This window comes from Homo sapiens, chromosome 2 (assembly GCF_000001405.40).
Source record: "Homo sapiens chromosome 2, GRCh38.p14 Primary Assembly".
Lineage (NCBI taxonomy): Eukaryota > Metazoa > Chordata > Mammalia > Primates > Hominidae > Homo > Homo sapiens.
The window spans coordinates 177,472,408-177,489,618 of NC_000002.12; the positions used below are offsets into that span (position 1 = coordinate 177,472,408).

The 17,211-nt window shown below is 35.0% G+C and overlaps 1 protein-coding gene and 1 long non-coding RNA gene across 5 annotated transcripts in view, besides 1 other annotated feature; one reads left to right on the plus strand and one right to left on the minus strand.

Moving 5' to 3' along the window:
• Positions 1-17,211, plus strand: part of AGPS (alkylglycerone phosphate synthase) — a 151,062-nt gene that overhangs the window by 79,635 nt on the left and 54,216 nt on the right. For 3 of the 4 annotated variants that reach the window (NM_003659.4, XM_011512041.3, XM_047446104.1), the window contains exon 11: positions 9,652-9,779. In NM_003659.4, the coding sequence (NP_003650.1) occupies positions 9,652-9,779 (128 nt within the window). Of the gene's footprint in view, positions 1-9,651; positions 9,780-17,211 lie in introns of those variants that run through there. The other variant, XM_047446105.1, reaches the window with a different exon arrangement.
• On the minus strand, positions 757-3,987 carry LOC105373762 (uncharacterized). Its single transcript, XR_923624.3, has 3 exons — positions 3,900-3,987; positions 2,594-2,661; positions 757-824 (listed from the first exon to the last, which is right to left on the minus strand). It is a non-coding gene; the product is annotated as an uncharacterized LOC105373762 (long non-coding RNA).
• Positions 1,629-2,828: an enhancer, noted in NCBI's record as "MED14-independent group 3 enhancer chr2:178338764-178339963 (GRCh37/hg19 assembly coordinates)". NCBI's record gives its function as "activates an origin of replication core promoter dependent on BRD2, BRD4, P300/CBP and CDK7 cofactors, and independent of MED14, by STARR-seq in HCT116 cells {active_cell/tissue: HCT116}" and the evidence as "EXISTENCE:reporter gene assay evidence [ECO:0000049][PMID:35650434]".

Consider the following 17,211-nt stretch of genomic DNA (forward strand, 5'->3'; position numbering starts at 1 on the left):
CATTTCTTGTTGTTGGTTTTTGTTTGTTTGTATTTCTGATTCAAGGTATTTTTTCATATCCCTGTTGCTTGATTGATGATATTTAATTCATGTTGTGTTACAGCTTTCTTCAGGATCGTGGCTGGTTTTAGGGTGGAGACTTTTCACCAATAGTAATGTTTTTATTGGCGTTTTCTGACTTTTGTAGTTGTTTTGTTTACAGATCTGATATGCCTTTTTCTAGTCCTATTTGTTACTTGGAAAGGGCTCCTATTTTGAGAGTGTTCTTTCCTGACACTTCTACCCTCTGCTATGCTATTTGTTTATAAATGGTGGTGTTTTTAGTGAAGGAAGAATTGGCATGTCTTGTTTCTCTTTCATTTCTATAGGGTCTTTAATTTCTCTTTATTATTTTATTCTTTCTCTTTACTGGCTTGTCTGCAAGGAGTCCACATACTTTTACGTGTGTACACGTGTACACATCTTGCTTCTCCAAGGCAGCCATTTCTGGTTCCTTCCATTTTCAAACTTCTTCCCATAGCCAGGGCTATGGACTACCAAGTCCTGTATAATATTTTGGCATTATTATTGCACTTTTGTTTTCTGGGAGTAATTTTGGCTGTACTTCCTCTAGTTCCTCTGTTACTCTCTACTTTTTGTGTGTAGTCTTTTAATAAGACTCCTTTTATTTACTTTTCATACTTATAAGCTTATAGCAGCTGGAAGGCTACAGGAAATCTGTTGGAATTTTTTCTTTTTATCTCTACTTAGAGGTAATTTGAAAGTTGCAGTGTTTTTTGTTTCCTTGTATGCTGAAGATCTAGGTCCTGTGTGGCTTTGTTTTCCTTGTTGATTATATTTTGGGGAGTTGAAGAAAATAGAGGGAGAGAAAAGATTCATAATCAAATGCCTGCTGTGCTTAATCCTTAAGTCCTGAGAATATATTTTCAAATTATGAGAGTCACTTCAAGCAAATACTTGCATTTTATATCAAACAGCATTTGAAGCCTTCAGTTTTCTTTGAGAACAAACATATTTGAAAATTATGAAACAGAAAATTCTGAAGTTTATTGACACTATTTTTTTTTAAGCAGAATGGAAAGTGAATGACATACAAGCCTCTCTGATGTCACATTGCCATGGAGTTATTTGGAAACAATTATACAAAGTGAATATAAAGTACTGGCATAACATACATATAATTAAGTAATAAATAATTTAAGTAGTTTTATATCACTCTGTTGACATAATATTCCCAGAAAAAAAGAATCAATAAATACATTAAAACTCTACATAAATGGGCCTTTTGATGCAGTGAATTTGGAATATCCATTTGTGATTAGCTGAGTTTGAACTTAAGTCAGAATGGAAGCTGCCCCTGTCAAACTGCATTTGGGACCTGGATGGATTTTTATCTTACACTGGGACCATGCAGAATTCCTAGCTGGCTTGTTGCACAGACTCACCTTGGTCATTTCATTAACCTTGCAGTAATGCAATGCCTCGTTTTATACTACTAATTTTTAAAAGTCTCATTTATAAATTTATGGTGAGTTTCACTACTTTAGATTGCCTGCAGTATATATATGAAGCAATATACAGAAATTTAAGTCATGATGCCTTCTTACTAGTACCTTAGAATTTTGATGTAGAATGAGAATTTTAAAGAAAGTTTGTTAATGTAACAGTATATACATTTAAGAATAAACTTTTTGAATAAGTAATAACTTGTACATTTATAAAATTTGGATATGTAGAAACATGGGAAATTCAAAAGTTACTCAAGAATGTTATAGGGAAAAATTTGCCTCCTATCCCTGTCTTACAGGCATCTTCCCTGTCCAAAGGCAACACTATTGCTACATATAACTGATGCAGGATTTTTGTTCCTTAGCTCAGCTAAAATCTTGTTGTATGACTAGGAAAAAATTAGCCATGCAGACACGTTGAAAGGTGAGGAGGGCGGAAGTTATTAAAAGAAAGCTCTCAGCAAAAAAAGGGGTTCTGCCAACAGGCTCCCACCTCACAGATTGAATACCAGGCCACCACATGCACAAGCTGAAGAGCCCAGGCTTCTTCCCCCTGCACAAGACACACATTCCTGGTGACTGTACCCCACTCTTCCAGTGCACAGGCGGGCCCCCAGTCTGCTGTGGGCATGCCCAGACAAGGCCTTGGTTAGGTTCCCTCATCTGCACAAAAGCATCTGATGTAAACACTTGTGGAGCGGGTTAGAGATTCTCTGGGACCCTCCCTTATCTGCCTCCTGTATCTACCATAACCATCTATGTATATATTTTTTAAAAAACAAATGGGAGCTTACTATTCTTTGCTCATCACATTTAGAGCCAGTTCATTCTTTCTGACAGCTGCATGATATTCCATTCATTGAATATACCCTGATGTATTTAACCAAACCCCTGTTGGTTGGCATTTAAGTGGTGTCCAATTTTGTCTTTGGCTTATATTTAGATTACAATGCTGTGATTCAAATAAATATTCTCAAATGTCTTCATTTCTTAGAACTTAGGAAATATTTCACCAAAAGCTTAGAACTTGGAGTTTGGTTCTGAATAGAAATGTTTTCCTGGTTAAAGTCAGGGTTTATACTCACCTTCTTTAATGAATTTCAATCTTGTGAGTTTTGAGTTTGATCAAGTGGTTATTAAAGTTTTCCATAGTCTATGGACAGATAAGAGCAAATAGAAGAGATGATTCATGCCTTAGGAATTTCTGCCTGACAAATTTCCAATTTATTTGTAACAACAACTAACTGTGAACATGAGATGTTAATTCCAAGATACCAGGAATTTCTAAAAGTGTTGAAAAGAGTGGAAAGAATGACAGATAATCTTAGTGATATTGTCAGTATAGTGGAAGGAAATTCGCAAATTAAAGTGATACTACTTGTCTTGGTGAGAAAGAGTAGGTGTGGTAGATAATTCTGTGTTAGGGGGTAAGACAGCATAGTACTAATAGGTAACCTGTCAACCCTTTGCCTCTTCTGACAAAGTTTTGGAAATTCACCTCAGAAAGAAACTGTATCTTTTAGCTATCACCATTCCTCCTTCCAGCTCCCCAGCAATCCTGCCCCAAGCCCTAAGCAACTACTGATCTTCTTTTGATCTCTATAGATTTGCCTGTTCTGGAAATTACACAGACTTGGAATTATATAATATGTAATCTTATGACTGGCTTCTTTCACTTACCACATTTTAAAGATTCAACAGTTGTGTGTATCAGTACCTCATTCCTTTTTTTATAACTGAATAATATTCCACCGCATGCATATTCTACATTTTGTTACTCCATTCATTACTGAGATTGTTTCCACATTTTGGCTGTTATGAATTGTGCTGCATTAAACATTTATGTACAAACTTTTGTGTGACATATTTTTATTTTTGGGGGTTTATAGCCTAGGAGTGGAGTTGCTGGCCATATAAGTCATAACCCTATGTTTCACCATTTGAAGAATAGCCAGACTGTTTTCTAGCATGGCTGCACCATTTTACATTCCCACAAGCAGTAAATGACGGTCCCATTTTCTCTAAGTTATGTAATTTATTGCTATACAGTTGTTCATAGTGTTCCTTTATAATCCTTTTTATTTTTGTAAGATTACTAGTAATATCCCCTATTTTATTTCCAGTTCTAGTGATTTGTGTCCTGTCTCTTTTTTTCTCGGTCACTTTAGCTAAAGATTTGTTAATTTTATTGATCTTTTTGGAGAACTACCTTTTGGTTTCATTGATTATTTTTTATTGGTTTTCTATCCTTGATCTCATCAATTTCACCTCTAATCTCTAATAATTCCTTCTGTCTGCTTGTATTAGATGTAGTTTGCTCTTCTTTTTCTAGTAGCTTAAGGTAGAAGGTTAGGCTATTTGAGATTTAAAAAAATATGTACAGATATTTACCATCACAATTTCTCTCTAGGTATTGCTTTACTTTATCTGATAAGTTTTGGTATATTGTGTCTTCCTTTCCATTCTTCTCAAACTGTTTTCCAATTTCCCTGTTGATTTCTTCTTTGACTCGATTATTTAGTAGTGTATTGTTTAATTTTCACATATTAGTTAGCTTTCCAATTTCTTTCTTATCAGTTTCTTATTTCATTCCATTGTGGCTTGAGAACATACTTTGTATTATTTCAGTCTTTGAAAATTTGTTCAAGTTTATTTTATGACCTCGCTAGCATGTAGTCTGTCCTGGAGAATGTTCTGTGAGCACTTGAAATAAATGTACATTCTTCTGTTGTTGGGTGGAGTGTTCTATTCTGTTAGGTCTAATTGGTTTATAGTGTACAAGTCCTATTGCCTTCTTGGTCTTGTGCCTAGTTGTTGTGTCCATTATAGAAAGTAAGGCATTGAAGTCTCCAACTGTTATTGTTGAATTATCTATTTCTCCCTTCATTTCTGTCAGTTTTTGCTTCATATATTTTTGTGCCTTGTTATTAGGTGCATTCTGTTTATATTTGTTGTTTTGTCTTCCTGATGGCTTATCATTATAAAATGTTCTTCTTTATAGCTAGTAATATTTTGTTTCAGTCTGTTTCGTATGATATTAGTATGTAGTCACTCTAGCTTTCTTGTGTTTGCTGTTTGCATTATATATATTTTTTCTTTCGATCTAGTCGTATCTCTGAATTTAAAGTGTAGATTCTGTAGATGGCAAATAGTTGGATCTTTTTAAAAAAATCGTCTCACTATCTTTGTCTTTTCTTTTGGTTGTTTAGTCCATTCACATTTAATGTTATTATTGGTATGGTCGGATTTATGTCTGCCTTATTTTCCCCCCCTCTGTGGGTCTCATGTCTTTTTGTTTCTGTAGTTTGTGATTATTGCTTTCTTTTGCCTTAAGTGAGTATTTTCTAATGTAGCATTTTAATTGCCTTAGTGATTTTTTTCAGTATACTTTTTTGAGTTACCTCCTTAGTAACCTCTATAAATGTTACAAACCAACAATACATTGCTAACATTACCACTATATATAATTGGCTTTCAAAGAAACTGAAAGAAGAAAGGAGAGCAAGTACAGGTTGAGCATCCAAACATGAAGATCCAAAATCCAAAATGCTCCAAAATTTGAGACTTCTTGATCACTGACTTGACACTCAAAGGAAATGCTCAGTGGAGCATTTTGGAGTTTGGATTTTTGGATTTGGGATGCTCAACTGGTAAGTATAATGCATATATTCCAAGATTTAAAAAAATCCCAAATTGAAAACACATCTGGTCCTAAGCATTTCAGATAAGGGATATTCAACATTTCTAGACATAGAACTTTTTTTATATTACCCATTTTGTTTATCTTTTCTGCTTCTCTTCATTTGTTCCTGTGGGTTTACATTACCATCTGTAATCGTATCCTTAGCCCAATAGAGCTTTACTTTCACTCACTTCTTTTGTGCTAGTATTGGCACATATATCACATTTGTATATGTTATAGATCCAAAAATACATCATATATGTATTGTTTTATACCAATGCTTTTTAAATCAGATGTGAGAAGAAAGGAGAAGAAATATGCATTAATACTATCTTTGGTATTACATAAAATAGAAGAAGACTCAAAAGTGCTCTTTTTTGTATATATTAATTTGAATTACTGTTTGGGGTCACCTTTGGTATTTATTTTAAGCCTGGTTTTCCAGCAGTGAAGTCCTCTCAGCTTTTATCTGGGAATGTCTTTATTTTGTTTTCATTTTCGAAAGATAACTGCTGGATGTAGGATTGCTGGTTGACACATTTTTCCCCCTTTCAGCATTTTGAATATGTTATCTCACCACTGTCTGACTTTCATTGTTTCTGCTGATAAGTCAGCTGTTAACTTTATGAGTTTTCTCTTGTGATTGATGAGTCATTTTTCTCTTGCTGTTTTCAAGATTTTTCTCTTGCCTTTGACTTTTAGCATTCCTACTACGATGTGTCTGTTTGTGGATATCTTTGTGTTGCTCCTGTTTGAAATTTGTTGAGCTCCCTTGATGTATAGGTTATTGGTTTTTAATAAATTTAGGAAGTTTTCAGCCATTCTTTCTTTGAATAATTTTTTCTGCTCCTTTCTCTGTTTTTCTTCCAGTACTCCCATTACACGTAAATTGGTGTGCTTAATGGTTTCCTGCATTTCTCTGAGGCACCATCCATTGTTTTCTCTGTTCTTCATGTTGCATAATCTCTATACATCTATCTTCAAGTTTCATATTCATTCTTTTGCCAGAGACCATCTGTTGTTAAGCCCTTGTAGTGAATTGTTCATTTCAATTATTTTGCTTTTCAACTCCAGAATTTCTATTTGATTCTTCTTAATAGTTTATCTTCATTTATAATCTTTAATGATGTGACATTGTCATCAGAATAATCCAGAATAATCCAATCAAATTCAGACACTTTAGAAGGGATAGTTCTGGAGATTAGTGTTTGGGATTTTTAGGGGGAGCGCAAGAGGGGTCCTCCCCATTGTCTCCCAGGCAAACTAGATGGCCTACATTTTAGGCTATATCTCTAGTGAATCTACCTGTGTCTTCCCAATTACCTTTTTACCACATCATTCACTGTTTTTGAGAATGTCCTTGGACTTGGACTTCACCATGCTCTGTTGCAAATAAAGTCATTTCCATTGGAAAGAGATTAGGAGCTATCTGTCTTATGGCCTGTTTCTCTCCCCAGAGAGAATCTCTGAACCACGGCTCAGGAGTTAGGGGTGGGGACAATGGCATGTTTCTATCTAAGTAACACCTCTGCTTTAGGAGCTGAATGCTGGGAGAAGGTGGGGAAGGAAATTAGGTTATCTAGGTTTGCTTCTCCTGGCAAGAAACCAGCCCTTTATGAGCCAGGACAAGGGGATTGAAACCCCAGTTTTAGTGTGCTACACTCAAGGTAGAGCTTTTGTCCCACAGTTGGGGCCCGGAGCTACAGGGGAGCACTACCTCCCAGCTGCACTCACCTGGAACTTAGCCTTGGGAAAAGGTAGCTGGGATCAGGATATTATATGGAATAGGATCAAAATTTTTTCTGAAATTAAGAAAGTCTTTAGATATATATTCAAGAGAAAGGAAAACATGTGTCCAGAAAAAAATTGTACATGTATGTTAATTGCAGCATTATTAATAGTAGCCAAAAAGTAGAATCCCATATGTTCATCAACTGATGAGCAGATAAACGAAGTGAGTTATACTATACAATGGAATAATATTTGGGAATTAAAAAGTAATGAAATATTAATACATGCTATAGCATGGATGAACCTTGAAAACATTTTGGTAAGTGAAATAAGCCAGTCAGAAGGCCAGATATTATGAGATTCCTTTTACATGAAATGTCCAGAATAGGCAAGTCTGTATAGACAGAAAATAGATTTGTGGTTGCCTATGGCTAGGGTGTGGGAGTAGAAATGGAGAGGGTTTGTTTAGTGGATATGGTTTCTTTTTTGGGATGATGAAAATGTTCTAAACTTAGATTGTAATGACAGTTGCACATGTCTGTGAATATAACGCAAAACATTGTATTTTGGGGCCGGGTGCAGTGGCTCATGCCTATAATCCCAGCACTTTGGGAGGCCAAGGCGGGTAGATCACCTGAGGTCGGGAGTTCGAGACCAGCCTGACCAACATGGAGAAACCCCGTCTCTACTAAAAATACAAAATTAGCCAGGCATGGTGGCGCATGTCTGTAATCCAGCTACTCAGGAGGCTGAGGCAGGAGAATTTACTTGAACCCAGGAGGCACAGGTTGTGGTGAGCCGAGATCATGTCATTGCACTCCAGCCTGGGCAACAAGAGCGAAACTCCATCTCAAAAATTTTAAAAAAATACCATTTGACCCAGCAATCCCATTACTGGGTATATACCCAAAGGATTATAAATCGTGCTGCTATAAAGACACATGCACACGTATGTTTAGTGCAGCACTATTCACAATAGCAAAGACTTGGAACCAACCCAAATGTCCATCAATGATAGACTGGATTAAGAAAATGTGGCACATATACACCATGGAATACTATGCAGCCATAAAAAATGATGAGTTCATGTCCTTTGTAGGGACATGGATGAAGCTAGAAACCATCATTCTCAGCAAACTATGGCAAGGACAAAAAAGCCAAACACCACATGTTCTCACTCATAGGTGGGAGTTGAACAATGAGAACACTTGGACACAGGAAGGGGAACATCATACACTGGGGCCTGTTGTGGCGGGGGGAAGTGGGGAGGGATAGCATTAGGAGATATACCTAATGTAAATGATGAGTTAATGGGTGCAGCACACCAACATGGCACACGTATACATATATAACAAACCTGCACGTTGTGCACATGTACCCTAGAACTTAAAGTATAATAAAAGTATATATATATAAATTTAAAAATTTAAAAATAAATAAAAAATAAATTGTATTTTACACTTTAAATGGGTGAATTTTGTAGTCTAAATTATGTCTCAGTAAAGATGCTAAAACAAAAGAGAACGTTTAGTCACTTTTGTTATCTTTTAAATTTTGTAAGACATATCTATTTTGTATTAAAATATTTATCAAGCCAAACTTGCAGAGCTTTTATGATCATACAAGTCATAAGTTATTTTATAACCTCAGTAGGAAATCATGTGTATATGTGGTGAATATATTGTGATCTAATGTAATTTGCTTTTCATAGACTTGTCATAGTTTTTAATCCTGTGTTATATATTGACAAGTTGTTTTAATTATATTGTAAACTTACTGGAAGCTTTGGTTTTTGCGAAACTTTTAAATTTCTTGCGTTATGAAGATGTGCAGTTTCAAGGATTTCTCCCCGTCTTTACTCTTTTTTAAAAATGATGCTCAGAAAATTTACTAATAAAGTTATTAATTTCTAATATTTGTACATCAGAAACCATTCATTTGAAAAGCTTGGCTTTGTGAATATAATAGTTTAACTTATTTTTTCCTCTCTAATTAGTCCCTCTTATAATAAAGAAAAGAGCATTTCTTTTTTTAATCTTTTTTTACTTTTTGTTTTGTTTTGTTTTTTTGTTTTTTAATTTGTGTGTGTGTTTTTATTTTTTCTTTTTAAAGAGCATTTCTTTTATTGGTGGTCATCTTATGTTAGATATTTATAATGACTACTTTGTCTCCATCTGGTATTTTTTGTTTCTTAAAAGGGCATCTCAGTAATGCCTTTATCTTTTCTCTCTATTAATTCTTAGGAAAAAAAGCAAGATAATATTTCCTCAGATTTCTTCTATCATCTTAGATTCTCATTGAAGGTTAGGGTTTTTTTGCCCAATAAATTGTTTTTAAGACTAAAAATAAGCACAAATATCAAAATACGCTTTTGTCTGAATACATATGAGACATAAGAATCCATTGTTTTTCAATTTTTTTATTTTAATAAGTTGTAATACTTTAAAAGCCATTTAAAAGTAACCTTCTTGGAGAAAGTTTACTTTAAAATGTTGAAAAATATTTGTACATGACTAATTAAAGCGTATTCCTAAAGCTTTTTTGAGAAATTGTAAAATTTGCTTAATTTTATAATTTTTTCTAGAATGACTTGAGTAGCCATTATTCCCCAGGTAGACTTGATAAATTTAAATGTGCATAATAAATTGAATTAATAGATTAAATAGATTTAAATATGATTTAGAAAATTGTCATGTGATGTACTGGATTATTCCCCCTTCTTTTTTTCAGGAACTCTTGGTGTAATAACAGAAGCTACAATAAAAATCAGACCAGTCCCTGAATACCAAAAGTATGGCTCAGTAGCTTTCCCTAATTTTGAACAAGGAGTAGCCTGTTTAAGAGAAATTGCAAAACAGGTAAAAGAAAAAATATATATATATACATACATACATATATGTTTATGTATTTATATTTTTCAAATTCTACTACATAGTTGATTGTGATATGTTACAACTAATCTTCATTTTTAGTTGTATTATATTTGTGGTTTTTACCCAGTTCTATATGAAAAGGTAGTGTTGTACAGTCATCCTTTAAGTGCAGTTACTATTTCTTTGAGTAAGTATATTGCTATCAAACCTATTTCTTGGTCTAGATGGCTATATGATTGTAAGCCAAGGTAAGATAGTACTTTGATTGGTAGCTTCAGATGACTTTGCCTTTTATTGACTGTTATGTGTCTTAAGTTATTTTTGGGTAAGATATTTTATGATTAATTGAAGTGATATTTAATTTAAATTGAGACATTTATTGAAATTAAAAGTAATGGCTAAATATCAAAGACCCCAAAATTTAAATATAGGTAATTCAACTTCATCAATTCATAGAATGTGCTGCTACTAGGCTATACTTTGTTTCATAATATTATCTAAGCTATAGCTTAAATTAAGGAATATACTATGTGTAATAAGCTAAAAAGAATTTTTATTTTCTCCCCTCCTTAAAAAATATATTATTAAGATTTTTTTTAAGACAAGATAATGCTAAGTAATTTTATTTATGTATTTAGTTCTGTCAGTATGGAAATTTCTACGTCTCTCTCGGCATTTGGTTTATTGTTTAAACTACAACTGTCTATGAATAATTCTTAATTCAACTTTTCCCAGCAGGGAGGAAGTCAAGGGAATGTACTCTAGCCTCTCTTTTTTTTTCTTTCTTCAAACTCCTGAAATTTTAATACTTCTATTAGCTATACCCAAGTAGAATCTTGAGGACAAGGGAGTTTTTGATGTGACCCATATAGGTCAGCTTCCTGATATCCAGAGCAGTGTGGAGGAAGAATCTGTTGAGGCAAAGGAATCATATCGAGCAAGTAGTCTATGTTTATCTTGGAATTTGTAAGGTACAGAAATGTAAAATGATGAAGAGTCTCTCATTTTCCCATCATCTCAAGACAACCACTATTAATGCTTTAAAGAACTTTAAAATGAGAAAAAATATATACATTATTTACTCACATATATATATCATTCCCAGTGCTGTTTATTCCATACACTCATAAAGTTTTACTTTCTAAGACACTCTTTCTGTCTGGCAGCTTCCCACTTTCATGAAGTACAGCTATATGACCACCTAATTCACCAGCTGATGTGGTAATTTTTGTAATTTTCAAGTAGCTGCACTTACTTGTCAGTTAGATTGCTAGACTTAGTATAGGTCCTTTGATCTTGATTGCTAGACTACTCCTGGGTAGGGAGAGGATTCAAAAGGAAGTAGGGTCCTGGAATAAGCATTCTTGGACTTGTGGCAAGTTACTTTGGTAGTGGTAAGGCAGAAGTGATTAGTAACAGTTGAAATCCTTACATTAGAGGCCCTAATTCACTAGAACTTTGGGAATACGATATTATGGTTAGGGAGCTAGAGTATATAGTATTAACACCATGTTAGCTAAAATGACGAGGTGGCAATAATATTTAAAACATTAAAGGATTATTAAGTAGAGGAGGATTGGAGATAAGTTTTTGGAGTAAATAGTATTTGTTATACTAAAGTAACATCTGAGCACTGAGTGGTGACATTCCAGTGTGTTCTGGTACTTGTTTCTAAAATATTCCATCATTCAAAGGCAGAGGAAAGGAGTTTCAAATTAAGATACCCCAGATATTAAGAAGTAAAAGAACTTGCAGAGCCTTATGGTTTTGCCTATGAATTAATACATAAAAGAACAGGAAGCTAGGGTGTTTTTTTTTTTTTTTAAATGACCAGAAGTTCACTAATTGAAAAATAAAACACAGATGTTTCCATATATATTTTCATTAATTTCAGACTGTTCTTAATGAGGAGCTTTTGAAATTTCAAGTGTTTTCATTTTGTATTATGATTTATCCTTGTGTAATGATTTTGGATTACAGTCATTGGGTGAACATCCTAAGAATTTTTTAAAATGAATAAAAGGACAAGTTTTACTGATTTGTGTAAGGATGAAGGAAAATTCCATCCCCTGCTTGTCTTAAATAGTTTTATTTTCCCTCTGTCTTTGATGAGCTTCACTATTCCCCCCACAAAAAGTGTGGTTTTTTGTTTGTTTTTTTAAGATGGAATCCTACTCTGTCTCCCAGGCTGGAGTGCAATGGCGCGATCTCGATGCGCTGCAACCTCTGACTCCCGGATTCAAGCAATTCTCTTGCCTCAGCCTCCCGAGTAGCTGGGATTATAGGCGACCACCACCAAGCCCAGCAGATTTTTTTGTATTTTTAGTGAAGATGGGATTTTGCCGTGTTGGCCAGGCTCGTCTCGAACTCCTGACCTCAGGTGATCCGCCCGCCCCGGCCTCCCAAATTGCTGGGATTACAGTCGTGAGCCACCATGCCCAGCCACAAAAAGTGTTATTAAAGAATTGTAGTTCATGTCATTTCTTGTTCAAGTCTTGAATGACATAATTCTAATTCACCATTATTGCCTCTAATTTTATGAAAAAAAATATGAATGCCAAATTAGATTTTTCCTTTCTGAGACAGGGTCTCACTTTCTCATCCAGGCTGGAGTGCAGTGGCACAATCACAGCTCAACGCAGCCTCTCAATCTCCTGGATGCAGGTGATCCTACCACCTCAGCTTCCTGAATAGCTGGGACCATAGGCACACACCACTATACCTGGCTAATTTTTTTTTAAACTTTTGTAGAGATGGGATCTCCCTGTGTTCCCCAGGCTGGTCTTGAACTCCTGGACTCAAGCGATCCTCCAGTTTAGGCCTCCCAAAGTGTAGAGATTGCTGGCATGAGCCACCATGCCCGGCCCCAAATTAGATTTTTTAAAAAATTACAGAAGTTATAAAAGTAGTTTGGATTTGTATTTATTTTCAACAAAAGATCTCAGAGAGGTCGTGTTCAGTCTGTATTGACCAACTCTGCCCCTTCAATAATATCTCCCCTCTATAGAACACAGATTTAGTACACTCATAAAGCTTTTGATTAGATGTGTGCATATTTTGTTTTCTTGATGCTCCATCTACTTTTCCACACTGCAAATACTTACATGTAAATCTATCTTAAATTTCATTAATAAGAAGTGATGTACAAATGTATCAAAATACTAAGTTTATAATTTCATTACAATGGAAATGTTGATTTCCAACATTTCCGCCATAAATAGTTGGTGTAATCTGATACAGTTTTTATTACAATTCGATATGCCCCTGATAGAAAGTGACACAGAAGACCTACTTGTGCTATTGAAAAGCAAGTATGGAATTTTCCTTCATCCTTGCAGAAATCAGTGAAACTTGTCCTTTTACTCATTTAAAAAAATTCTTAGGATGTTCACCCAATGACTATAATCTAAATTCACTACACAAAACTATAGTGAGCCAGGTGCGGTGGCTCACATCTGTAATCCCAGCACTTTAAGAAGCTGAGGCAGGCAGATCACTTGAGCCCAGGAGTTTGAGACCAGTCTGGGCAACATGGCGAAACCCTGTCTCTATAAAAAATACAAAAATTAGCTGGGTATGGAGGCATGTGCCTGTAATCCTAGCTACTCTGGAGGCTGAGGTGAGAGGATCCATTGAGCCCAGGAGGTCGAGGCTGCTGTGAGTCGTGATCGTGCCACTGTACTTCAGCCTGGGCAACAGAGCAAGACCCTATCTCAAAAAACAAACAAAAAAAACTGTATTAGCTATATATCTTGGAACAAAATAAAGATAATGATTGATAGACAGTGCTACCATGTGGTTAAAAAAGCAGGTCGTAAAGAAAGGTCCTTTCTAGTCTATAGCTATGACAGTTCAGTTCTATGTACTTAATAATTGACAGTTTTTAGAAATACAAATATTATGGACTAGAAAGTTTGTCTTACTTGAAACTGATTTTAAAAGTCCAGATAGATAATATTCTATTCTCGAGCATTGCTCTTAATAATGGAGCAATTGCTAAGAGTAGTTACTGGGATTTGGATATCTAACAGTTTTGGAAACCTACATATTTTACTTCTATTATAATGCACATGTAGAGAGGCATTAATGTTTATCTTACCTGGAAATGGATAAAAGGTTTTATAATGGTTTAGGGAAAGTTGTATATTAGTTTGTAGAACATACAAGTCTCATATGTCAAGAGTGGTACAGTATTTGCTGCCTTCCTTTGTAATAGTGTTTTCAGGCAGAAAAATTGAAAAAATCAGGTTTTGGAACTAGTCATTGTTCAATTTGGGATTTGGAATTTCAGTTGATAGCAGGGGAATTAAGATCCATTAAAGTAGATGGTACATGGCTTATGATTGTGCCAAATTCTTGATTGAATAATGAATTGGTTGCTTGTAATTCTTCACTGTCATTTTATAGCACTTCCATCTTTGCAATATTTTCAGATTCAAGTTGCTTTTGAAATGGGAAACTGTAATTTTGGATAAATATCTTTTGGGAAAGAACATACATGACTGTTCACAAATAGCAAAGTGGGCTATATGTATATTTTTATTACTATTCTTACTGAAGGAAATAAATTAAGCAACCTTATACTAGCATTAGAAGGATTCTACTAAAGTCTCTCATCCGATCTTTGTCCATGTGAGCAAGTATCCTCTTTCAATACTTCACTGCCTTGTGAGAAGCTAGAAAGGAGGATTTAGTGGAAGATTAATGTGATTCTTTCTCATAAGTGGCAGTCCAGTATAATCTCCTCCTTTATTCAGTAGATGGGTAAATGATTTTTAAGACGTTCTCAGAAAATACATTTCCTGCTGTAGCCTATGAAGAGGAGGAAAATAATGTTTTTTAATCAGCATATCAGTGTTAGATATAACGTGTTATTATTCTCTAAAAGAGATAAATAAAATTGTTAGTTTGGAAATAACGATGTCTTTACAAGGTTAAAAGGAAAACCGAGTGTTAAAACAAGCTCAGAAGCAGTTTCTGAAGCTTGGGTTTTTTTTGTTTGTTTTCAATAAAAACTTAGGAGTAGTGCCCTATGGTATTTTGAGAGGAGCATTTATTCCAACAAGAGGAAAAACTGTATTTGGTATTGATTAGTACTCATTCCTCTCAAAACTCTTCTCAGTAAAACCTAGTTTCTTCGAACTAGGTTTTTAGAATTATAGATGAAAATGCAGCTTTTCTTCCCACTACCTTTTGATGGAGGGTAATTTTTCCTTCCTTCTATCACTTTTATTTTAAACAATTTTAAACTGATGAAGGTTTGGGGTTTTTTGTTTGTTTGTTTTAATGATTTTAGATTATAATTTGGGAAGACATAAATTTTATGAATTGTTCTGTTTTAAACTTAATTTATCTTGGAGGAGTTCAAATAAATTAGAAGGAGTCAGGTTTAGCACTTACCTTATAAAACACTTAAAACTTCTTTTTATTCAACAGTAATTCTTGGGAGTATTTATTACATAGAGAAACTGAAATTATTTTAAATCATTTTTTTTGTGTCATGCGTTTTTTTCTCTGAAGCAGAGAGAATAACCCTAGTCAAGTGTTTGGTTAATTGGATCATTTACTGTTTGATCCAGCAAAATTAAGACAGTTATGAGACATGTTCTCTACCAGAAGCCACTCAGAACAAGTTATTATACCTTTACTAAACTGAAAAACTATAAAGTTATAATTAGGAGACTGGCATTATCTTTTGGTCTTTTCCTTAATATAAGTGGAGGGCAATATTCACTCCCTATTATGTATTATTTTATTCTTTAAAACCAAGCAACAATTGACTTGTCAAAATAAAAAGTTCTTATTGTTTATCATACGGACTCCTAGCTGTAAGTCAGTATGTCATCTCTAAGATGACCAACCAGTAATAACTGTAGCCTTAAATAGTCTATCATTTCATCTGTGATACCAACTCTGACTTATTAGTTAGAAGAAGAATTTGTCTACATTTTAAGTTTTTATGTCCAGAAATTCACATTTAACAGATTATCTTTTTTTACATAGCCTTTTTTGAACTTTTTTTTTTTTTTGAGACGGATTCTCTCTCTGTCACCCAGGCTGGAGTGCAGTGGTGCCATCTCAGCTCACTGCAAGCTCCACCTCCCAGGTTCATGCCATTCTCCTGCCTCAGGCTCCTGAGTAGCTGGGACTACAGGCGCCCGCCACCACGCCCTGCTAATTTTGTTTTTGTATTTTTAGTAGAGACAGGGTTTCACCGTGTTAGCCAGGATTGTCTCGATTTCCTGACCTTGTGATCCACCTGCCTCAGCCTCCCAAAGTGCTGGGATTTGAACTTTTAAATTAATCAATTTTGTTGTGTGCCTTATTTGAGGTAGTGTGCTCTTAGCTTGATAACCAACATAATGCAATGGATAGTATGCAGTTATATGTGGTTCCTCACTTCTAGTGAGGATGTTGCATATTATGATAATTTTTTGTGCCCAAATTTTTGTATAGCACATGGAGTTTAGTATTGAAGCATTTGCTTCTGATACAACATGAGATTGATAGTCTATTTCCAAGGTAGTCTCTAGGCTCAAGAATTTGGGCTGTTCCAGAGTCTACATAGGATGTGGATTTACCCTTTGAGGAAACAAATGTTTTCAATCAAGTATAATTCATTCCTTAGCCATGGACCAGAGTTACATGGCTGCCATTCAATGCTTATACTTTTATAGTTTATCCTTATGACATTACGTTAGCAGAAACCCCTCAGACATGTGAAATATATGTTAATGTTGAATTTATTTTGCTGGTAACTAGTCTTTTAAGAGGTGCCTTCTCAAATATGTCTCATCTGAATTGCAAGTTCTGATTTTTTCTGTGACAAGTAAGAGCTATGACTTAGTTTTAGAAAAACCAGTTTTGCAGAATATTTTGATGTTTCTTTTTTTTTTTTTTTGAAACGGAGTCTCGCTCTATTGCCCAGGCTGGAGTGCAGTGGTGCGATCTCGGCTCACTGCAAGCTCCGCCTCCCGGGTTCATGCCATTCTTCTGCCTCAGCCTCCCCAGTAGCTGGGACTACAGGCGCCTGCCACCACACCAGACTAATTTTTTGTATTTTTAGTCGAGACAGGATTTCACTGTGTTAGCCAGGATGGTCTCGATCTCCTGACCTCGTGATCCGCCTGCCTCGGCCTCCCAAAGTGCTGGGATTACAGGCGTGAGCCACCGCGCCTGGCCAAGGAAATATTTTTAAATAAAATGATAGGATTGAGAAATATGTTGCTTTTTAAGTTAGTGCAGAGAGTACTAAGTAAATAAGACTAATCAGAATAGTTTTTACTATTCAGATTATGCAATCAAGTAAATTCCTGGTTGTAGCATCCCTAAAGGGAAGAAATTGCCAGCAATTTGACTAAGTCAGTCTTGTATCCATGTTGTGAAGTCATCGTGGTTATTTATTTCATTATTAAAG